A 22,810-nucleotide genomic window follows, 5' to 3' on the forward strand; every position below is an offset into this window, starting at 1 on the left:
TTGTTTATTCTTGGGTCAAAACCACCTTGTTTGATGGCATTTTACGCTGTAATGATGACATCTTCGTATCTGAGATGGAAGCCCCCCATTGCTCTGCTGTTTACATGTTTTTGTCTGCTGTACTAGTGACCTAGTGCTGCATAGTCAACTGCCTGAAATCCAATGTCCTTGAACAGCACACACGCATGGTCACACGCATCGTCTCTCAGTTTCTCCTCGGGAGCACGTGTGTGGGGTGGCTGCACCTCAGGATGTCTCAGGAGGGTCCCATGAAGTGCTCAGCCCAACTGCAGTCATCGGAAGCCTGGCCTGGGGCGGGAGGGTCTGCGGGCTGGGACTATAGGTGTGCACCGCCACTACTCCTGGCTAATTGTTGTGTTTTTAGTAGAGATGGGGTTTCACTATGTCGGCCAGGCTGATCTCAAACTCCTGACCTCAGGTGATCCACCCGCCTCAGCCTCCCAAAGTGCTGGGATTACAGGCATGAGCCACCATGCCCGGCAGAAATTCAAAATCTTCAAGTGCTGATCCCATCAGAAACGCCCACAATATAACAAGGTGTGAGGAAAGGGCGCTGACCCACACACGCAGGCAGGCTCATTTTGACAACAGGAAAGAGCTGGAAGCATACTAATGGCAAATGATCTTTTACTAATGACACTTTCTGCTTTTTATTTTTCTGTTTTCCAAAAGGAACTTGTGTTATTTTTATCCTCATAAAAAGAAACAAGTGGTGTATTTTTAAAAACTGCGCCACTCAGTAGCAATCTCTTGATGGAGGATCTGTTTTGCGCCCCCGGTGTTGAGTTTCCCAGACTGACCTGTCATCTGAGGTGCTGGGGCTCCGAGCCCCACGACGGCTGCTGTGAGGCCTCCACACTTGGCAAGCAGTGCTGTTCCCCGAGCAGAGCCAGCTCCCCGTGACAGCAGCCTGTCATCAGAATCCCCTGTCCTCATTTCCTCCAGCCCGAGCCAGGACTGCAAACAAGGGGGACAGTACGGAAACCCAACACTCTAGCGCCCACCCCATAGTGGTCCTGGACACAGCGAGAGTTGGGGTCCTCCATGAGGGTCCCCCACACAACATGAGGCTGATGCCCAAGGCTGGGGAAAAACCCTGGGACAGTGTGGGACACGAGCAGGGGAAAGAGCAGGAGCAGGGGCCAGGCTGGGCTGGGCTACGGCTGGGCTACGGCTGGACTATGGCTGAGCTGGGCTGGGCTATGGCTGGGCTATGGCTGGGCAATAGCTGAGCTGGACTGGGCTATGGCTGGGCTATGGTTGGGCAATAGCTGAGCTGGACTGGGCTATGGCTGGGCTATGGTTGGGCAATAGCTGAGCTGGGCTGGGCTATGGCTGGGCTATGGTTGGGCAATAGCTGAGCTGGGCTGAGCTATGGCTGGGCTATGGCTGGGCCAGGCTGGGCTGTAGAGGAAGCATGGACTCAGGGAATCTCTATGGAAGGTAACCCTAAGGGCACCTTGCAGACTTGGCAGTAATTTGTAGGTGAGCTTCCCCTCCATAGGCTGTGTGCATCTCAGGACCAGGAGTGGGGTTCTGTCTCCCTGGGGGCCGCCTGGACCTCTCTGGTCTGTAAGAGCATTAGGACAATCCCTAGTAGCATCAAGAGGCCACAGCCAGACCCAATACTCCCCAGTTCCTCCAGGTCGCAGCACACCTGGAAATGGTCATACTGCTCAGGCCCACATGGCCGATGGGTAGAGGGCTGAGGGCTGAGGGCTTCTCTCCCATGCACCTGAAGTCCCTCAGCCACAAAGCTCTGCTCTGGTCACTGGTGTGAGAAATGTCCAGTGGCCTCTTGGGTCCCCAACTCAACCCACCTGACCTTGGTCAGGGCCTGTGGTTCTGAGCCCATTTCAGTCCCAGGCGTGAGAGCTTCCCCCTGCGACTACCGTGAACCAAGTGCTGGACGGGAGGCTGATAGTCCACTGCTGTATTTTTAGGTGACCCTGTTTCTTAGCCGTCCTGGGCAGCCCCGAGGCCAAGGCCATGGGGTAGCAGGGCAAGGAGCCCCAAGATCTCCCCTATCCACGCTAGCTGGGCGGGGCAACTGAGTGTGGCACCTCCCCTCTCTGGGCAAAGTTTCCCTACCGCCACCATGGACCCCAAGCTCGGAAAGCCTCTGCTGACCAACCTGTGCTTATTCATGATAATCACGTTTTCCCACGTGACAACAGAACAAGAGGACACATAGGTGCCGCTGACATCAACAGCGAGGGCAGCACCTGTCGGTGTCCTGGCCCTGGGCTGAGGGTCTCTGTGACCCCAGGCCCCCACCACGGGCTCCACTGTACTCAACTTGTAGACGAGGAAACAGGTGGGGAAGCTGCATCCCTGCCCCCACCAGCCAGCCCAACCGCGACAGCTTTCACCTGTCCTTGCCCTGGAGCCCTTCCTGATGTCTGTCCTAGGCCACAAGTCCCTGGAAGGCCTCAGTGGGCTTTCTGAGCTAACAGTCACCAAGGAGCCGGCATCTCACTCCTTCCCCCACCAGCCCAGCCCTCACTGCCTGACCCTCCCCTCGCCCTGCAGACAGAGGCTAAAAATACCCTCCCCACGTGGCCACCAGACCAGCCCTGCCCCGCCCTGCAGGCCTCCGTGTCCCCTGGCTGCCGGCTAGGCAGTCCTGCTCTCTCGGGTCTGTGTTCTCAGCTTCGAGGTCCAGGCTGAGTGAGAGGTAGGATCCAGGGGGCTCTGGGGCAGGGGACAGCAGAGAGGGCAGGGGGAACCCAGCCAGGAGCAGCGGGGAGGGTGGGTTAGGCCCCCGAGGCCAGGGATCACAGCAGGGTGCTTTGGAGACGCCCCCTGGCCCTTGCCAGCGGCCAAGCCAGGCTCCTCAGGGTGGGGGCTCAGGAGACAGGTTTCCCTCCATGTCCCAGCCGGAGAGGTGGGAGGGGGAGGCTGGGCCACCCCTCAGATGGCAGCCAGGGCCACTCAGCCACAGTCGCCAGCCTGGCTGGGCTCAGGCCTTTTGTTGTCCTGCCCACTCGGCTTCCTCACTCCGGGCCTGGGCAGGCACTGGGGTGAGGCTCTGAGACCCTCAGGAAGCCCCGACCCATGCAGGGACTGCAGGGTGACAGGTGTCAGCAGGCACCCCGAGGCCCCCAGGGGAAGTGGGGGCGCTCATGCGTGCCTGCCCATCGCCCGGCAGCAGCTGGCCCAAGGGAGCACAACAATGACGGGAATGTGAGGCCTGCAGGCGGTGGCCCAGGGACAGCCCTGTCACCTACTCAGGCCCCAGCTCATCTCCCGGCTGCCCAGGGAGGGCAGAGCCGCCTTCACCGGGGCCAGCGCCTCCTGGGGAGGGGCCAGGCAGGAACCCCATGCATGCAGTGTTGGGTGGGTACTTCGTGTACCGGCCGGGATGCTGGGGTGTGGGGCCCCGGCCACGTGAGCTGCCCTGTGCGCGAGCCCGGGTTGGTCCGCGAGGCCCTGTGGGCTCCCAGGTGCTTCCCCGCTCTGGGGTCAAGAGGTGGCACCGGGGTCGGGAAGTCGGGGAGCCCTAGCTCCCATCGCCTGCACCTGTACCTGCACCGTGGCTGCCCGGGCCAGATTCTTGGCCTCCTGGTTCTCCAGCTGAGCTTTGTCATTTCCATGCGTGGCGTTCCCACGCATTTTGTACCTGTGGACGCGCGGCCGCCTCTCCTGCCCGGGATGGCCCCGCGAGGCGCCCCCTAGCGGGCGAACGGCCTCTCCGCTGCGCAGCCTTTCGCCCTGGGGTGACCCGGGTCGAAGGCTTGTGCACAGACTTGATCTCTCCTAGGGATGGTTGTCTTAGGGTGCGATACCAGAAGGACATAAACCACATGCACATAATTACATGAGCCTGAAAGCGGCCTTGCTGACTTCAACCATGCGGGCGTGGTGACGCGAAACCCTCCAGAACGCTGCCTTTGGCTGGCCGTTTCTGTTTAGCAGCCTCCACCCGGCCACGTGGAATGCAGGGTTCAGAGCCTGGGCCCCCAAGCCTAGCTCTGAGTTCAAATTCCAGCTCCACCACTTCCTAAATGTGTGATCTTGGGCAAGTGACTGAAACCTTCTGTGCCTCAGTCTCCCCAGCTGTAAAAGAGGCAATGATTGCACCCACCCTCCAGGACTGTTGTGGGGCTGAGTGGTGAATGCACAGCTTCTCTGCATGCTTGGCACGTGGCCTGGCACCTGGGAGCACCGCGGGAGCAGGAGCTGCTGCAGCCCCCAAATGGCCTCCCCAGCAATGTGGGATCTGGGACGGAGGACGCCTCCCGGGAGTTTGGGTGTCTCCGGGGTCCCTGGGGGGTGGGCTCAGTGTAGCCCAGGGTTGCAGATGACACCCAGGGCATGGGTTCTTTTGCCAACCCTGTTCTGCCCTGAATGCCTGGCCATGGGTAGGTCTCCCACCCTCTCTGAACCTCAATTTCCTCACTGCAAATGGGAATGACACCTGCCCTACCTTGCAGGGTTCTGGGGGTGGCTTGAGGCAGATGGGGGGTAAAGTGACTGGCATATGGTCGATGCCCATCCTGTGTTTATCAAGGGGTGGAAAGGGCTGATGGACAGACCGGGTGGGTTGCTCAGGAGGATGAGACCATCCCCACTTGGCTGACCCTGCTCTCTTCTCTCCTAGGAGCTCGGGCGGCTCCAGGCACTTCTTCCCTTGAGTGGGTGGACTACTGAGGTCCCCTGGGCACGGCGTCATGGTGCGGAACGTGGATGACCTGGATTTCCACCTGCCCTCGCATGCCCAGGACATGCTGGATGGCCTGCAGCGCCTGCGCTCTCAGCCCAAGCTGGCCGACGTCACACTGCTGGTGGGCGGCCGGGAGCTGCCATGCCACCGCGGCCTCCTGGCGCTCAGCAGCCCCTACTTCCATGCCATGTTTGCGGGTGACTTCGCCGAGAGCTTCTCTGCGCGCGTGGAGCTGCGGGACGTGGAGCCCGCCGTGGTGGGACAACTGGTGGACTTCGTGTACACAGGCCGGCTGACCATCACGCAGGGCAACGTGGAGGCGCTGACACGCACGGCTGCGCGCCTGCACTTCCCCTCGGTGCAGAAGGTCTGCGGCCGCTACCTGCAGCAGCAACTGGATGCCGCCAACTGCCTGGGCATCTGTGAGTTCGGGGAGCAGCAAGGGCTGCTGGGCGTGGCTGCCAAGGCCTGGGCCTTCCTGCGAGAGAACTTTGAGGCTGTGGCACGTGAGGACGAGTTCCTGCAGCTTCCCCGAGAGCGGCTGGTCACTTGTCTGGCCGGCGACCTGCTGCAGGTACAGCCGGAGCAAAGCCGACTCGAGGCCCTGATGCGCTGGGTGCGCCATGACCCGCAGGCCCGGGCCGCCCACCTGCCCGAGCTGCTCAGCCTAGTGCACCTGGACGCCGTGCCCAGGCCCTGCGTGCAGCAACTGCTGGCCTCAGAGCCCCTGATCCAGGAGTCAGAGGCATGCCGGGCAGCCCTGTCCCAGGGCCATGATGGGGTGAGTGAGCGGCTGGGAGGCCCCATCCCTGGGAAGCAGGGAGGAGAGCCCCAGAGACCCCACCTGAGTAGGGACAGAGTAAGGAGTGGACATTCCAAGGTGCACTCTGACCTTGCCACGCTCCTTGTTTTGGGCCAGTTCCCCATGAGGACATCACTATTCAGCCCTCAAGTGCAGATCATGCCTCTGTGTGTGTCACGCCCTGTGTGCAAGGGGCAGGGGAATGTGGAAGTGGTAAGATCTGGCCCTGTCCTGAAGGAGCCTGCAGCTCAGTGGGACAAGCCTGGAAACAGACCTCAGGCAGTGTGGAAGGGCCAAATACATGCCTAGGACGCATTCTGGGTGGGCTGGCAGTCAAGGAGGGCTCTCTGGAGGAGGCAGCATCTGAGCTGGGCCTTAGAGGAGGGATAGGAGCTCACAAGGAGGAAAAGAGGGGAAAACCATCCAGGAAGGAGGTGCAGCTTGTGCACAGGCAAGGAGGCACAGACAGGCCTGGCAGTCCGCCTGAGCTTTTATGGGGTGCTACTTCCTGTTTGTGCTGGCAGTGTGCCTGGCAGGCATGGCAGGTCATGATGGAATGACAGGTCTGGGAGTGGCTGTTCGGTCAGCTGCCGGGCACCCTGCTCAGGGGCCTTGCTTCGGGGCACTCCTTTAGAGCCAAGTCCGGGGACAAAGAGTGGCTCAGACTGATGGTCCTCAGGCCAAGGGTGGAGTGAGTAGTGGGCTAAACCCTAACCCCTGTCCCCACTGGATTCCAGCCAGTCACAGAGCGCCCGGCCTCCTGCTGGAGCTGGCTTCAGAGCCTTGCCCGTGGACGGTCACCTTGTATTCTAATTCCTGGCAGTGGGAGATCTGGGGGTTCCATATGGGGGGCCAGGGTGGATGGCTGTGGGAGAGCCTGGGGTCCTGGGAGACCTAGGCAGTGACTGCTTACCGGCCGTTCCTAAGACAGCCAGCATTTCCCACTGAGCCGGGACACCCTCGTGCCGCCTGCTGGAGGCCACCCAGGGAGCAGGGGCAGGGAGAAGCTTATGCGTGGCGCTGCGGACCTGCTATGGGATCGGTTCTGAAGATGGTTCAGGAACTCCAGGAATGCCCCTGAAAGGCACATGGTGCAAGGAGGGAGCAGCTTGTGCACTCGGGCACACGCCATCTCCAGCAACATGCAAGCACACATGCACTCACATGCTGAGGCCTGCCCAGGACACGCGGGGGCTCAGGGCATGGGGACACATTGCTGTTGCCCTGACCCTGGCCTCCCACCCCACAGGCACCACTCGCCCTCCAGCAGAAGCTGGAGGAGGTCCTGGTGGTGGTGGGCGGGCAGGCGCTGGAGGAGGAGGAGGCAGGTGAGGAGCCCACCCCCGGCCTTGGGAACTTTGCCTTCTACAACAGCAAGGCCAGTGAGTACCCCTCCCGCGTCCAGACCCACCTGCTGTCTCTCTGTCCCAGCGGGAGCCGCTGTGTCCTCCTTGCAGGTGGAGCGCATGAGGCTCGCAGAGGACCGGGAGCTGTGTGAGGCCCCTGTGAGGGGCGTGCCTGGGTGGGCCTCACCTGGGGGCTGCAGAGGAGCCCGAGGTACCCCGGGAGGGGGAAGGCTGGCGGGCACTGCTGCTCCCTCTCCCTGCAGCCGGAGCCCAGGACTCTGGTCCCTTTTAGGCCCTGGAGCCGGTGTACAGGCCTCCACGGCCAAGACTGCACCCTGTGGGGTGGGCGGCCTGGCCGCTGCCTCCTCCCCATGCTCCCTGCTCAGTGCACCTGCCGAGGGAATCGAGACCCCAAGGGGAGAGTGGGGTGGGGGGTGAAGGGGTGCAGGCAGCTGGAGGAGCGAGAACTCAGCTTCTGGGTCAGCCCAAACGGGGTTGTAATCCCGGACCTCAAACAGGTGACCTCACCTCTCTGAGCCTCAGCTTCCTCATCTGTGAAATGGGCTCCTGCTGCTTCCTCACACAGTTGTAGGGAGCCCTGAAGTGGGCACTGAGGCCAGGTCTGCCATTTGGCGGGAAAGGAGGCATGAGGGGCCCCGCAGCGGCTCTGGAGGCCCCCTGCGCTGGCCCCAAGAGGTGCTCTGGAAAGGGCTGATGCAGGCTGGCTGGTGTGGGGCCACCAGGCAGGTCGCCAACCATCTCCTTGGCGTCAGCGGCTGGCAGGCTCCAGGAAGCCTGAGGCCAGCTGTTCGGGTCAGGGGCTGAAGAGAGGGGGTTTGGGGCTGACATCAGGAGGGAGCAGCTGTCTCTCAGACCTGGCCGGGAGGTGGGGACGCTGGCAGGAAGAGCCTGTTGACGGCTGGGCAACCCCCACCCTGGGGTGACAGAGCCATGAGTCATGGGGACACGGTGCCTGCCCACAGTGCCAGGCTCTGCTCCCAGGGAGGCCTGGAATTCCGCATCTCCCAAAAATGGTCATAAATAGTAAACAGAGTCTTCCTAGGGGACATCCCAAAGGCCTGTGTCTCTTCCACAAACATCCAAAATATGTCCATTTATAGGACTTTACCATTTCCACATTTATTGTCTTGATTTTCCAAAGCATTTTCTCATCTCTTGCCTCAGTTTACCTCTTGTAGCTCCGAGAGGCAGGCCTGACTTGGGCACATTGCTCTGCCCCACGACCCTAGGAACAATAATCCTAACAGCTGTCATCAGCTGAGCAGTTCTGTGAAGTCCCCATAGCTCCCGGGAGGCTGGGGTCATCCCCATTCTACAACAAGGAAACTGAGGCTGGGGTTTGCCCACGGACACACAGCTGGGGCACCACATCTGAGATTTGGACCTGCTCTGCCTGCTGCAGGTCCTGATCCCCTGTATGTGCCTGGCTGCCAGGAGGGCAGGGAGGGTGCTCGGAAGGAAGGAAGGAAGGAAGGAAGGAAGGAAGGAAGGAAGGAAGGAAGGAAGGAAGGAAGGAAGGCAGGCAGGCAGGCAGGCAGGCAGGCAGGCAGGCAGGCAGGCAGGCAGGCATGCTGTTGGTGTTATCACCCACTAGTGACACCCACAGATCAGGCCACTTAACCCACACCGCATCTAACCGACAGACCAGACTCAGGGGCTGAATGGTCCATTTGGGGTCAGTGGGGTCAACTGCAGGGTCAAGGTGAGACCCCGGCCTCCAAAACCTTGCTGCTTCTCCAGGGGGCTATCCTGTGTCCACTCTGAGTTCCAGGCTCTGCGGAGTGGGTGGGGGAGACACAATGAGCCAGAAGCACCCAGGACCCCCCGGGCCCCCGTACCAGTGTCACCCTGCCCCTCCCTTTCCCCACCAGTGAGGGGGGCATTTCTGCACCCGGTGCATGGAAAGGCACCTGGGAAGGGGGAGTGGGGACCACCCCAGCAGGGAGCCTGGCAGCCTGACCCTTCTGCCTCTCTCTTCCTGCCAGAGAGGTGGATGGCACTTCCAGACTTCCCCGACTATCACAAGTGGGGTTTCTCCCTGGCGGCCCTGAACAACAACATCTATGTCACAGGTGGGCAGCTCGGGGACCCTTCCAGAGATGCCCTGCCCAGCCAAGCACTGGGCTCAGTGCAACTCCCCGCACTCCGTGGGGTCCCTGAGGGTTAGTCAAGGCTTGCCGAGGCCTTTCCATGCATGTGAAAACAAGGACATTTAAAATCCGTGGTCACTCGTGGGAGCTGGGAGCCGCTTCTGTACACAGGCTAGTGTGGGCCCACCCCTGCATCACACAGCTCCTTCAGGTGAGGCTCCAGGCCTCCCGCTGAGTGCCACGCTGGCGTGGCTGCTGCAGGCCTTCAGCATGGGGTGCCACGAGGTTGCAGGCGGCCTCCTTCAGCAGGAAGCCCCAGGCCTGGGTGGTTGACCAGGTGTCTGTCTTGGTCCCCAGAAAGAGTCGTGTGTTGCAGGGGTCACTTTGCTCTTTCCTATCTCAGAGATTGGGGTTCCTTGTAAGATTTGGGAGGGGATAAGCTTCTGCTGATGGGGGCTTGAAACCACCGATTTTGTCGTCCTTGTTTATGGGGATGGAGGGACCTGGGCAGTCACACAGCTCGGCTGCGCTACCCTGGTCCCACCTCTGGCTCACCACGTTGGAGATCATGGCCTGGCATGGGAGGAGGTCCCTGGACATTGGTATCCACACCCCATGGCCTGGTGCCCCAGGCTGGTGGCACCCATGTAGACAGAACTTCTCCCGGCAGGTGGCTCTCGGGGCACAAAGACAGACACCTGGTCAACCACCCAGGCCTGGTGCTTCCCCCTGAAGGAGGCCTCCTGGAAGCCCGTGGCGCCCATGCTGAAGCCCCGCACCAACCACGCCAGCGCGGCCCTCAATGGGGAGATCTACGTTATCGGCGGTGAGGCCTTCCTCTCCACCCTTCCCTGGGGCCTGGTTCTAGCCTCTCATCCCTGCAGCAACAGGAACCGAGAGCCCCATGCTGGCCTCGGAGACCACGGAGATGCCGCTCCCACTGCCACCCTCAGGGCTCGCTGTCTGGTGGGGCGGGCAAGCCACAGGCCAGGGCTCCTGACCAGGCGGGCCATCAAGACCCACAGCCCAGGTGTCCTCCCTGGCCAGCTCCCATTGCCTCTGTTGTGCTGGGACAGCGACAGCAAGATGGTGACTCAGGCCCCAGGAGGGGTTCCTGCAGGAGCAGCCAGTGGGGACGGCCACACCCACCCACCAGCACCTGCAGCTACAGCAAGGAGTCACCCAGGAGCCGTCACTGATTAAAGGAACATCGAGAAACAAAATGTGGCCGGGTGTGGTGGCTCGCTCCTGTAATCTCAGCACTTGGCAGGGCCAAGGCAGGAGGACTGCTTGGAGGAGGACAGGGTCTCTCTATGTTACCCAGGAGTTTGAGACTAGCCTGGGCAACATAGAGAGACCCTGTCTCCCTTTTTAAAATTATTTATTTATTTATGTATTTTTTATTTTGTTTTTTATTTTTGAGACGGTCTTTCTCTGTCACCCAGGCTGGAGTGCAGTGGAGTGATCTCAGCTCTCTGCAACCTCCATCTTCCAGGTTCAAGCAATCTTCCCACCTCAGCCTCCTGAGTAGGTAGGACCCCAGGTGCATGCCACCATGCCCAGATAATTTTTGTATTTTCTGTAGTGATCGGATTTCACCATGTTGTCCAGGCTGGTCTCAAACTCCTGGGCTCAAGTGGTCCACCCGCCTCAGCCTCCCAAAGTGCTGGGATTACAAGAGGGAGCCGCTGCCCCCAGCCCATAAAAAAATAAAAAATAAAAAAAAATAGCCAGGCCAGGTGCAGTGGCTCACACCTGTAATCTCAGCACTTTGGGAGGCTGAGGCAGGCGGATCACGAGGCCAGGAGTTCAAGACCAGCCTGGCCAACATGGTGAAACCCCGTCTCTACTAAAAATACAAAAATTAGCTGGACATGTAATCCCAGCTACTTGGGAGGCCAAGGCAGGAGAATCGTTTGAACCCTGGAGGCAGAGGTTGCAGTGAGCCGAGATCAAGCCATTACACTGCAGCCTAGGTGACAGGGTGAGACTCCATCTCAAAAAAAAAAAAAAAAAGGCAGGCATGGTGTCACGTGCCAGCCGAGGTAGGAGTATCGCTGAGCCTGAGAGGTTGAGGCTGCAATGAGCTGTAATCGCACCACTGCACTTCAGCCTGGGTGACCGAGCAAGACCCTGTCTCAAAAAAAAAAAAAAGAAAGAAAAGAAAAACAAAACACATGGGGCCCAAAAGCTCTGTAGGTGATGAACTGGTCTTGAGGCCACTTCTAATGCCCCATCTGTCCCAGCTGTCCCCTTTCTCTCAGTGGCTACCGTGTCCCCAACCAGAGAGCAGAAAGCACCCAGGGCTCCCGAGCCCAGGGCTTGTGAGGTCCCCAGGTGCTCACAGAGGCCCAGGCCAGGGCCTGCTCTCCCCAGGAGGCGTCCCCATCACTGCCACACCCAGATTGTATCTGGGACTGGGAGGGAGCTGCCTACAGCTCCAGGGTCTCGCAACCCGCCCTCCCAGGGCTGGCATCCTCCATTCCAGTTCAGAGCACCCCAGGAAATGACTCCCAGCACATGAGGGGCCTGGGGGCGGGCAGCCTCCTGACAGCTCCCCGCCACCCCGTTCCCAAACATCAGCCCCAGCTCGAGCTCAGGAGTGGGGCATTTCTAGGCCCGAGTGTCCACCCCCACCCCCACCACTTCCTGGCGGGGCGGCCTTGGGAGGTGCCAGCACCTCTCAGAACCTCAGCTTCCCTGTCTGTGAAATGGGGAGCCCACCCCACCTCCCACCACTTTGCTGCCTTACAAAGCCCCAGCCCCTGAGTTTCCAGGCCTCCCCTCTCCTCCCCAGCCCTGAACTGCCCCCGCCCTCACCCCACAGGCACCACCCTGGACGTGGTGGAGGTGGAGAGCTATGACCCCTACACGGACAGCTGGACGCCCGTCAGCCCGGCCCTCAAATACGTCAGCAACTTCTCGGCTGCCGGCTGCCGGGGCCGGCTCTACCTGGTGGGCTCCAGCGCCTGCAAGTACAACGCCCTGGCCCTGCAGTGCTACAACCCTGTCACAGGTGGGTGGGGCTCAGGGACCGAGGATAGAGGACCACAGGCCCCTCTGACAGGCGACAGTCCGCTCGTAGTGATGGTGAGGATTGGGGCTCCTGAGGATAGACGGGGCCCGGGGTGGAGAGAGCCGGCGGCCGCAGGCCTCTCACAAAGAGGAGGGGATGTGGAGGAAGGCAGGGGCCTAAGAGGTCAGGGACCCACTGCGTCAGCTCCGCAGAGTCCCAGCACAGAGGCGAGCTGCACGTCTGTCCTGCTCAGGCCTTAGGGCAGCAGTGGGCTGGGGCTGGGGGTGGGGGTGGGGTGCCAGTGATCTGAGCCCAGCACCTGGCAGCTGCCTGGCTGTTCTTCTACCCAAAAGGGCCTCACGGGCCGGGAGTGGTGACCCCGACCTCCGAGGCCTCGAGGCCCATCTTGGGCTCTGGACTCTGTGCCAGAGTTTGAGGCCCAGCGCAGCCTCCCTGAGCTCTGAGCCGTCCACCCCGACCCTGGTCTCCAGTCCTGTTTCACCCTCTGGACAGTGTAGATGGTGGCGGGCCCTGTTCTGAGGCGTGGATGTGAGGACCCTTCAAGAGACTGACTGGGCCCAGAGTCCAGGCAAGGCCCACCTGGGTACCAGGCCCGGGGTTGGGGGCTGGGCAGGGAGGGGCCCCCAGCAGTCCCCAGTCAGGGTGGGGTGGGTGGGGCGGCAGCCAGGCCAAAGCACCCCCACCACAGGGAGAGTCCTGAGGGACCCCTGCACCCTCCACAGGCCCCTCACCTATGCTGCAGCCTTGTGAGGGGTCACTGTCCCCAGAGGGAAAGATCGAGGCTGGGTGAGAGGCAGGTGTGGGTCCCTCCCAGCTGCACCGCAGGGACCTACTCCCATTTCACAGACAGGTTCACTGAGGTTCAGAGAGGCACTGAGTCCAGGGTCCCTCAGAGTGGGGCACAGTGCTAGTGCCCGCTCTGGCAACCCTGGTGACGGTGGCCAGTGCCCGTGCCCCCCACAGATGCGTGGAGTGTGATCGCCTCGCCCTTCCTGCCCAAGTACCTGTCCTCGCCTCGCTGTGCTGCACTGCACGGGGAGCTCTACCTCATTGGGGACAACACCAAGAAGGTCTACGTGTACGACCCCGGGGCCAACCTGTGGCAGAAGGTGGGCCGCCCCCTCCCCCAACATGTGTGAGCCCCTGCCCAGGACTCCTGACATCAGAGAGCCAGCCTGGGAAGTGAGGGATGGGGTGCCACAGAGGGCCCACTGCGAAGGGGACAGCGCAGGCTGGGGTGCCCACAGAGGGCCCACAGTGAAGGGGGTGGCGCAGGCTGGGGTGCCCACAGAGGGCCCACAGTGAAGAGGGTGGCGCAGGCTGGGGTGCCCACAGAGGGCCCACAATGAAGGGGGTGGTGCAGGCTGGGGTGCCCACAGAGGGCCCACAATAAAGTGGGTGGCGCAGGCTGAGATCCCCCCAGGCTACAAGGTGACAATAGTGCCCTGGCCCGAGTCCCCTTGAGGACAGGGGTGACGGTGATGGTGGGAGAACGCGATTTGGGTTGCCGGCCACTGGTGCTCTGTCCCTGCACACCCAGCTTCCTACAGAGGAGTGGCCTGTCCTCCTTCTCAGGGAGAAAAGCCAGGTTCAGCCGGAGGGTACTATAGGGACCAGGAGGGAGGGCATCCTCTGCCCCAGGGTGGCCAAGTTGGGGAGGGGGTTCCTGAGCTGAGGGTGAGGTGAGAGCCACCAGCCTGGGGGCTTTCCTGTTGTCCTCAGTGCCATCCCACCATGGCCCACTCTTTGACCATCAGTGCCTGAGGAAGGGGAGGGAGGTGAGCCTCTGGGCGGCCTCCCTGGTGAAGGGGACAGTGCCCAGGAAGTTGGGGATGGGTCCTGGCACCAAGCCAGATGCCCTGGACCTGCCCACCTGCCCCAAGACTCCCAGTCCCTGCAGGCTGAGAAGGTGGAACTCCTTCCTGCAGCCCCCCTGCAGGCTGCTGGCCTGGTGACAGCAGGACTTCTGCAATCCTGCTGCCCACAGCTGTCCCCTGGCGTCACTGCTCAGCTGACCCAGGGCCCCCATTACAGCGGTGAGACAGGTGCAGGGTGGGCCCTGCCAGGCTAGCGTGTCTGCCTGGGCCCTCCCAGCTGGGCCACAGCCAGGCCTTCCTCCAGCCCAGGCCACTGTCCCAGGCTCAGGTCCCAGCACAGCAGGGCTCTGCCTTACCCTCTCCAGGCCTGGGTCCTCACCTCTTCCCTGTCTTCATCTGGAGGCCACAGACCGGCCTCCCGCTTCCCACCCGCCCGGGCTCTTCCTGAAGCCGCAGCTCTCTCCAGCCTCTGGAAAGCCACCCGCCCTCACCCCACAACCCCTCCCAGGGGCACTCCCAAGGCCATAGACTGAGCAGGGGGTGCAGGGGTGAGGCAAGGGAACCCACGGTGGGCTTGTCTAGGCTTTTCCTGATTGTCTGCCAGGGCTGAGCCACACCTGTCTCCTGTGAGACAGCGAAGCCTCAGTGAGGCCTCGAGTCAGCCCGGACCTCCCCGGGAGGCCTCAGGGCCCCCTCTGACTGCAGGGGTTGGAAGTGTCATCCCAAGGGCTGAGGGTCAGAGAGGGAAAGGGACCTCCCCACCAAAAGAAGAGTCTGAGGAGGCTGGAGGGGCTGCGGTGGGCTGCCCAGGGACTCTGCGCTCATGCCCTGGAGGGGATCTGGGCCAGGTGGCTGGCTGTCCTCTCTGCCACTCCCCCGACCCTGCTGAGGGCACCCTCAGCCCTGCTCTCCAGCTCCCGCCCACCGGACGCTAACCCGCTGACCGTGCACAGGTGCAGTCACAGCACAGCCTGCATGAGAATGGCGCGCTGGTGCCACTGGGTGATGCGCTGTACGTGACGGGCGGCCGCTGGCAGGGCATGGAAGGTGACTACCACGTGGAGATGGAGGCCTACGACACGGTTCGGGACACCTGGACCCGCCACGGCGCCCTGCCCCGGCTCTGGCTCTACCACGGGGCCTCCACCGTCTTCCTGGATGTCTCCAAGTGGACCCAGCCCTCCGGCCCCACCCAGGAGCACTAAACCAGGGCCAGGGTCCCCGGGGAGGAGTCCCCACAGCGGCCCCTCATCAGCCTGTGGAACGGCCCCTTTCATTTTCGCTTATTTGTTCACTCGGAGCTACCATTCCTTCCAAGCTGCGCTCAGGCCACCAGGGGTGATCAGACGGCATGGCTTGGAGGACACAGCCTTGGTCTCTGTGGCCACCACACTAAACTCTGAGCTGAGCAGTGACAAGGGCCTGAGTGCCAGACGCTGGCATAACAGGGACAGGAAGCTCTGCTGCCCCTGGGGTTCCCGAGACCTCAGAGAGGGGAGCCGGGGGCCGGGCCAGCATTCCCAGAGCTTGCGAGCCCCACTCCTGCCCCTGGACCCCAGCAGGGGCTTTTGGAGCAGTTGCATGAATGTGGGGTGAACACGGAGCGTCCCAGAAAGCTGAGGCTGCTGGGGAAGGCAGGCCCCGGAGATGGGATCAGCACCAGGTCCTCGTGGGCCTGCTTCTGCCCAGCTCACGGCAGCGTAACTGTGGCCAGCCACCTCCCCTCTCTGGGCTTCAAGCTCCGCGTCCACCACACACGGGGCTGGCTGTGTGGGCTTTGGGTCCCCACTCAGGCTTTGCATGTTGGTGCTGTGTTTCTGCTTCTGTGGACAAAGGAGGCCCCCACCCATCTCTTGCACCCAGAGGGCGGTGCCCACAGAGGCACCAGGAAGGAGGGAGGCAGGGCGTGGGGCGGGGCTGGAGGGTCCCAGGGAGGTGAGCAGTTTTGCTCTCAGAAGGGATTGCCTCCGTCTCTGTGTGTCAGAACAAAGGCTCTTCATTAGAATGGAATTTCCCACCAGGGGACGACTCTTGGGTGCATTGGTGGCAGCCTCCTGAGGGTGAGGGGTAGCATCCGATGGGCCCCTGCCAGCATGCAGCCCGACTCCGGCTGGCTCAGGCTCCGAGTGGCTTCTCCCTCATCCTGAATGAGGCACCCACCTTTGCAGCTAAGGAGACAATGAAGGACTCTCCCTGGGTGCCCAATGGCGTGTCCCTCCTGTCACAGGCTCCGCCCTGGGACATGGGGCTAGAAGTCAGGAGTCGGGCCCGGCCAGGCACAGGCCCTGGTGTTGCCCCAGAGGCCCTGGGCAGCTCCGGTCTCCCGCCGGATCCAGGCTTCCTCTCCAGGACCAGCCCCTGGGTTCCTCCTTAACACCCCCCGCCCCTGGGGACCAGAGGGGCCTCTGACATCCTTGGGTTCTGAGGACGGAAACCCCTGAGCCTCTTGAGCTTCTGTAGGTAGGGATCTGCTTTGCTCCCAGACCTGCCTCTCATAGCTTTTTTTTTTTTTTTTTTTTTTTTTTGAGACGGAGTCTCGCTCTTGTCGTCCAGGCTGGAGTGCAATGCTGAGATCTTGGCTCACTGCAACCTCCACCTCCCGGGTTCAAGAGATTCTCCTGCCTTAGCCTCTCAAGTAGCTGGGATTACAGGCACTCGCCACCACGCCTGACTAATTTTTGTATTTTTAGTAGAAACAGGGTTTCACCATGTTGACCAGGCTGGTCTTGAACTCCTGACCTCAGGTGATCCGCCCGCCTCAGCCTCCCAAAGTGCTGGGATTACAAGGTGTGGGAGAAGTGAGTTGACCCTGGAGGGCCAGACAGAGTGGGGCCTCTGGGTGCTACCAAAGGAACAAGAGCCCAGAGCTGAGGAGACCTTCGGTGGCAGATGGATTGGATGAAGCAAGGGTGAGGGTTTCTGGGGCCCTGGGCTCTGTTTCCATGTGGAAATCTGAAATGTTTTCTAGACAGTGATGGAAGGAGGTCAGCCAAAGGGCTGTTTAAAAACAAAGCCTCCATGTAAACCATTTCTGCAAGAATATTTTAAAATAAATAAAAATAAAACTGAAGACATGAAATGTCAAAATAGGCTGGCTTTGATCACAAAGTAGCCAAAAGGGCGGCGTGCCAGAGCAACGCCTGCTGTCCACCCTTGCACACCCTATGGGAATATGGGCGGTCCTCGGGTGGAAGGAGTGGGCCTCTCCAGGGCCTGGCTCCCAGCTTTGAGGTGCCAAAGTGCACCTCGTCCGATCAGCTGGGCTCCTGATTCAGGGGGCCATCGCAGCCTTCAGGGCACCAGGAGGAAAGGGGCGTCTGCTGGGTATTGAGGTGAGTGGCTAAGGAGAGTTTCACGACGGCCTCTCCCCATGCTGTGGGCAGGGTGAAGGGAGCCCAGTGGCTGGAGAGGCATCCCAGGACAGCAGCAGTGGGAGTGCCACCCCCCCCACCCCGTCTTGGGAGAAGGGAAAGGGCAGACGCAGACTCCAGGGAGCTGCTGAGAGAGGGCCTTGGCGGGGGAACGCAGCCACCACCCCTGTTGTCCAGCTGGGAGGAGGTGGCAGAGTCCATCTGCCCTCTCTCTCTGGCCTGCCCCCTGTCTCCCACTAGCGCCTCCTACAGGCCAAGCCCAACCAGAACCCAGAGGGAAGAGAGGCCATTGACAGGCTGTAGTGGCCACCTGGGGACACAGAACAGGTGGAGAAGGTGGCCAGGGCACCAGGACGGCGGCCAGAAGGTCCGGCACACGTCACCCACTTGAGAGCTTTGCACGAAGGGACATTAATGCACTCACTCACCAAGCGACAGCCATAGGGCAGCCAAGGTATCCCCTTCCATCATCAAAATCCAGGACAGCAAGGACTCATTAGAAGGCTTGAGGCTAATATGGGCTTCTAGAAAGGGGAGCGCGTAGCCTTGGAACATGTGCAAATGCCCACAGGGGTGTGCGGGCGAAACCCACCTCCAGGCCCCATGTGCTCATGTCCTCCAGGTAGGTGCGTGTTGTCTTTCCCATAGAGGATGCTGGGTAAACTGAGGCCCCTCAGCCTTCAGTGAGCACACAGGGCCCTCAGCCAGGCCCAGCACTGCCAACTGTATCTCAGCTCCCCCGGGTCCCCAAGTAAGCTGGGGCCTAGGCATGCTTCCAGCCACTTCCACCGGACTTGAGTTTTCCAACACCTCACAGACAGGCCCCTTTTATTATCTGGCATCTTCTCTATTCAGGCAGGGACAGTGGTTGCTGGGATCAGGCCATTGACACCCTCATGTGACTGTAATTAAATGGACTGGTCACCTGACAGTTTTCCATAGTCAGTATAGACCATGACATAGCTTGGAGATCTGTCCCCTCCGAATCTCATGTTGAGTCTGTTGAGTCTGATCGCTGGTGTTGGAGTTGGGCCTGGTGGGAGGCGTTTAGATCATGGGGGCGGATCCCTCAGGCATGGCATGGTGCAGTAACGCTGGTGCGTTCACGGAGAGCTGATCGTTAAAGAGCCTGACACCTCCCCTGCTCTCCCTTGCTCCCTCACTGTGTGACACACCTGCTCCCCTTCCCCTGCCACCGTGAGTGGAAGCTTCCTGAGGCCTCACCAGAAGCAGATGCTGGCACTATGCTTCCTGTACATCCTGCAGAACTGTGAGCCAAATAAACCTCTTTTCTTTGTAAATTACCCAGCCTCACATTTTCCTTTATAGCAAGAAAACAGAAGGATACAGGCCACTACTCCAGTTGGTTGGGCCATCAGTTGATCCAGCTGAAAGCATGTGTATGGATGGAGAATGTGCCAATGGCTTAAGGAGAGAGGGCACAGCCACGTACACAGGAAAGATGCTGCACCTCCGGGGCCGTGTCATTCACCGTCCCTCCCCAGTGCCCGGCGTGGTATCAGCTGATCGGTCTGAAGTGTGGCTGCTTCTCCCGGACTCTGCAGCACCAGGTACGTGGCAGGGCAGCCAGGTGTGTGGCTGTCACTGAGACTGAGGTAGACTAGGACAGGAATCTCCATGGGGGAAGTATCCTGTTTGGAACAAACCCCAGGAGACATCATGACTCCCTCAGAAGCCAAGACGATTTTGATCACAGTCACATTTAAGAATGTGATTCTTTCCAAAATGGCATTGCATTCAACTGAGAGGAGAGCTAAAGATGATTATTTTAATTAATCTATTAAAAACATGTAGACAATTAGCAGAAAACTCAAGAGACCCTCTGGGCAGGAGTGAGAAAGAATTGTCTCCCGAGAGACCCGAGACTGCCCACACACCCATGCAGGAGGCCACAATGTATTCCGAGTGCTCGGCCTGGTGCCGGCACGTCATGGGAACTGCACAACTGCACAAATGCTCACTGAACTGAACTAAATCTGTAGGTTCTCCAGAGCAACTGACCTCAAGTTGTAGGGGCCAGACCTGGATGTGGTTTCATTTATTGGCTCTGTGACCTTGGGCCAATCCCAAGATCTGAGCCTCAGTTTCCTCATCTGTGCAATGGGGATAATCACACGATTTGCAAATTAGATGACGTCGTGGGCTTGCAAGGCCCAGTAAACAGCGAAGGCTACCCGCCTGGGCCTCTGGAGGCCACACAACAAGCTGACTTCACGGTCCCACTGTTTTCAGGGCAGAGGGAGGTTTTATTCCCATGACTTCATCGGCAAAGGTCCTTCCTCTGGAGGAAGAGAGAAGAGTGGGAACAGCTTGGCTGCATCAGGCTGCTGGGAAGCCAGGCCCGGGCCGTGACATGAGGGCCCAAGAATGAGGATTAGATTTCAGCCAGGCGTGAAGGCGCATGGGGGAGGCCACTTCCTGCTCCAGTGATCCCCGTTCTGTGGCCATTCATTTAGTTCTTCCATCCTGGGATGTCCTGGCTCACCCCGATGCCAGCCCCACTTCTGACCCATGGGCTGCTCCTGCAGGGGGAGGCCCCCATTTCTGCTGCTCCTTGATCTGCGCAATTCTTTGCTAAGCTCCACCTTCCTCTGAGTGAAAGCCACTTTGAAATGTGAACGCAGACACATGCAGGGGCCCCACCTGAAGACCCCCGGCCTCTCTGCTCTCTGTCCCCAACCCAGGCGGAGTCATCCTCTCAGGATAGTGTTACAGGAGGCTGCCCCAGCACCAGAACCGATTGGATTTGGGCCTCTGGCAGGGCCCATGACATCATGAGGATTGTTCATTGTTTGGGAAAATAACTTTTTCACATGGCAACGGCTCCTGTCCTCAATGCTGGCCTGAAAGCTGGGGCCCCCCACTGCGAAGTGGAATGACATCACACTAGTATCTTAAGGGTAATGTTCCCCAAATCAGGGCACCTCATCCCTGCGTATCCTCAGTGTTGCCGACGGTGGCAGAGCCTGAGCATCACCTTCCCAGGGCTCGGGTGGGGCCAAACAGCATCCACCTTGAGCCATAGCTGCAGCCAGGGCCCCAGAGGGAATTCAGACCTGTGGGATGCCCATTCCTCACAGGGAAAAGATGGGGCTATGTTTTCTGCAGTAATGCTCCAACTCATCACGCACCTCTTATTTCACACCAACTAGAATAGGAGGAACCCTAACAAGCCAAACATAAGGCCGTGAAGATGTAACCTGTCCAGTGGGCAGGAGGGCCTCTGCAGCCCCACGCCGGCTCTGCCCATGGGCTGCGTCCTGGGCAAGCCGCCCACCTCTCTGGGCTAATTGGTGGGGAATCAAATGAGGTGCTGGTGTGGATGAGCTTCTCCAGAAGCAAGAAGGTGCCATTCACACAGCTGCAACTCCTGGGGACAGGAGCCCCTCTCTACCAGCAGAGTACAGGAGAACATGGCACGCCAGGGTCCTGTGGTCCACAGATACAGTCCCTCTGAATAAGTGAAACCGAATGAAATGTTAACACATTACACCGAATGTGCATGTCACATTCAGACATGTCATGACAAAGTTCCACACATCAGGCTTCTTAACAGACATTCCAATAGAACCAGACATGAAAACCCACCAGAGAAACCCTTCACTCTCTGAGGGCCTTAAGACATCTCCCTCATATGCGTGATTTTGGGAGCAAATGTCCTTAATTGTGACAAACCTGCAGAATGTTTGCAGGTGAAATAAGTTCAGATATCTTGCTGGGCACATATGACCTAAGCCAGTGTTTCTCATATTTCTCAAATGTGTCTTAAAGACTTGCATGTTTTATAGGAATTCAAATGTTTTCATTGTATTGGTCTTTTTAAAAAAAAAAATCATTTGTGGCTTTTTGTTGAGACGGAGTCTCGCTCTGTCACCCAGGCTGGAGTGCAGTGGTGTGATCTCGGCTCACTGCAACCTGCATCTCCCAGGTTCAAGCAATTCTCCTGCCTCAGCCTCCTGAGTAGCTGGGATGACAGGCGCTCGCCACCACACCCGGCTAATTTTTGTAGTTTTAGTAGAGACGGGATTTCACCATGTTGGTCAGGCTGGTCTCGAACTCCTGACCTCAGGTGATCCACCTGCCTCGGCCTCCCAAAGTGCTGGGATTACAGGCGTGAGCCACCGTGTCTGGCCCATTTGTGGCTTTTAAAGGCAGGACTTCCCTCTTGTGTCCTCACCTGCCATTGAAAGACATCTTCACAGAGTAAGTCCATGGGACTTACCCCTGCCGGGCAGATTCTCATGCTGGGCAGGGTATGTTTTTCTTTAAACGTCCTCCCCACCCAACTCTACACCATTCCCATATCCTATGGGAAAAGGGGTGGAATCACAGGGAATAATTACCTTCTGATCCCATGCTTTTCCTAAAGTATGAAGTATTTCCTGGTTTCCCCACCTGCCAGGCATGAGGCCAGCCAGGTGGAACATCGCATGAGTGGCCAGAAAAGGCAGGCGACAAAGGCCAGCTTGCATCTGAGGACGGAACTTGGCCCATCCCCAAGCCTGGGGGGCACCACCTGCGGCTGCTGGTGCCCCTTTCAGTCCCTGCTGCCACATCCTGTGAACCAGGACAGGGTAAGGCCTCCTTTCCCCAGCGGGCTCTTCTCAAAAGAGTTCCCCGGGAACAGCAGCCCTCGGTGTGAGTGTAAGGTACTTTTCCAGCGGAGCCTTCTCCCGTTCTTTAACAAAAAGCACTGTGTACCCACCAGGGGCAGGTGCCTCGGGGGTGGGGCAAGCGAGCCAAGTGTGCGACCCTCCTCGGCTTAGCGTCCAGTGGTGGGGCAGATAGTCAAAAGGGCATGCGATATAACAAAGCCAGGGGTAGGGTGGGGCTGGGGCTGGCTCTTTCCTGGTAGGGCCGCCCAGAGGCCTCTCTGCCACCTTCTCCGAGGCCTGCAGGGTCTGGTCCACCTCTGGGGGCACTGATTCCGGTGGGCGGTGGGCAGCCTGGCTTCCGGTCTGGTCTGCCCCCACACCCCCGCTAGGGCACGATAGGGGTCAGTTCTCCCAGCCCAGGCCCCGCTCAGCCCCACCAGGGCAGGGCGGCTGTCCTGAGTTGTTTCTTGGCTCCCTGCGTCTTCTGGGTCCCGGCAGGTGCGACAGGTGGGGAAGAACAGTGAATCCCTGCGCTCAGAGCACGCCAGCCATGGACGGAGGGCGGCCTGGAAAGGGGAGTTCCCGCCTGGGAAAGGGGCGCTGAGAAGGGGCCCTGAGGGTCTCCCGGCTCAGATTTGCTCCACCTGTGTCATAGAGGCCTGGGCCTTGCGGGGCGCAGCCAGGAGAATGGGGAGGGGGTACCTCGGGGGTCCCTGCAGAGGACGTGGGGGACAGAGCGGGGAGAAAGGATGCCTCGAGCCGTCTGGGAGGAGGCAGCGCCTGGCTCCCCGCAAAGAAAATGGGGTCGCGAGGGCCGAGGGTCCAGGGCTGGGAGAAGGGGCGCCTCGCTCCCCAGGAAGCAGAAGCGCTGGACAGCGCGAAGGAGGGATCCCAGAACCAGGAGTTGCAGGGGGGACGCGCCCAGCAGGGGAACACCCCTCGCTCTCCCTGCCCTGCCCCGCTCCCCGTGCCCCCTCCCCCACTCCCCCTCCCCCGCCCGGACACTCCCCCCATCCCCATGCA

The 22,810-nt window shown here is 60.1% G+C and overlaps 1 protein-coding gene across 1 annotated transcript, besides 2 other annotated features; it reads left to right on the forward strand.

Moving 5' to 3' along the window:
• Positions 1 to 2,607: 2,607 nt before the first annotated feature.
• KLHL30 (kelch like family member 30) lies at positions 2,608 to 16,887 on the forward strand. The gene is made up of 8 exons (NM_198582.4): positions 2,608 to 2,698; positions 4,625 to 5,468; positions 6,739 to 6,871; positions 8,842 to 8,928; positions 9,617 to 9,772; positions 11,774 to 11,962; positions 12,947 to 13,092; positions 14,754 to 16,887. Exons 2-8 carry the CDS (start codon positions 4,695 to 4,697, stop codon positions 15,003 to 15,005), a joined length of 1,737 nt encoding a protein of 578 aa, NP_940984.3. The 5' UTR covers positions 2,608 to 2,698; positions 4,625 to 4,694; the 3' UTR covers positions 15,006 to 16,887.
• Positions 4,864 to 5,377: an enhancer, noted in NCBI's record as "H3K27ac-H3K4me1 hESC enhancer chr2:239049565-239050078 (GRCh37/hg19 assembly coordinates)". NCBI's record gives its function as "activates a minimal SCP1, AML or CMV promoter by ChIP-STARR-seq in naive H9 embryonic stem cells {active_cell/tissue: H9 hESC(naive)}" and the evidence as "EXISTENCE:reporter gene assay evidence [ECO:0000049][PMID:30033119]".
• Positions 17,222 to 17,721: an enhancer, noted in NCBI's record as "H3K4me1 hESC enhancer chr2:239061923-239062422 (GRCh37/hg19 assembly coordinates)". NCBI's record gives its function as "activates a minimal SCP1, AML or CMV promoter by ChIP-STARR-seq in primed H9 embryonic stem cells {active_cell/tissue: H9 hESC(primed)}" and the evidence as "EXISTENCE:reporter gene assay evidence [ECO:0000049][PMID:30033119]".

Source organism: Homo sapiens, chromosome 2 (genome assembly GCF_000001405.40).
Source record: "Homo sapiens chromosome 2, GRCh38.p14 Primary Assembly".
Lineage (NCBI taxonomy): Eukaryota > Metazoa > Chordata > Mammalia > Primates > Hominidae > Homo > Homo sapiens.

Excerpts from the sequence above, each read along its gene's own strand:
- KLHL30 (NM_198582.4), top strand. The coding sequence starts at position 4,695 with ATGGTGCGGAACGTGGATGACCTGGATTTCCACCTGCCCTCGCATGCC. Across the intron at positions 5,469-6,738 it reads TGTCCCAGGGCCATGATGGG|GCACCACTCGCCCTCCAGCA; the intron begins GTGAGTGAGCGG and ends CCCACCCCACAG. Across the intron at positions 11,963-12,946 it reads GTGCTACAACCCTGTCACAG|ATGCGTGGAGTGTGATCGCC; the intron begins GTGGGTGGGGCT and ends TGCCCCCCACAG.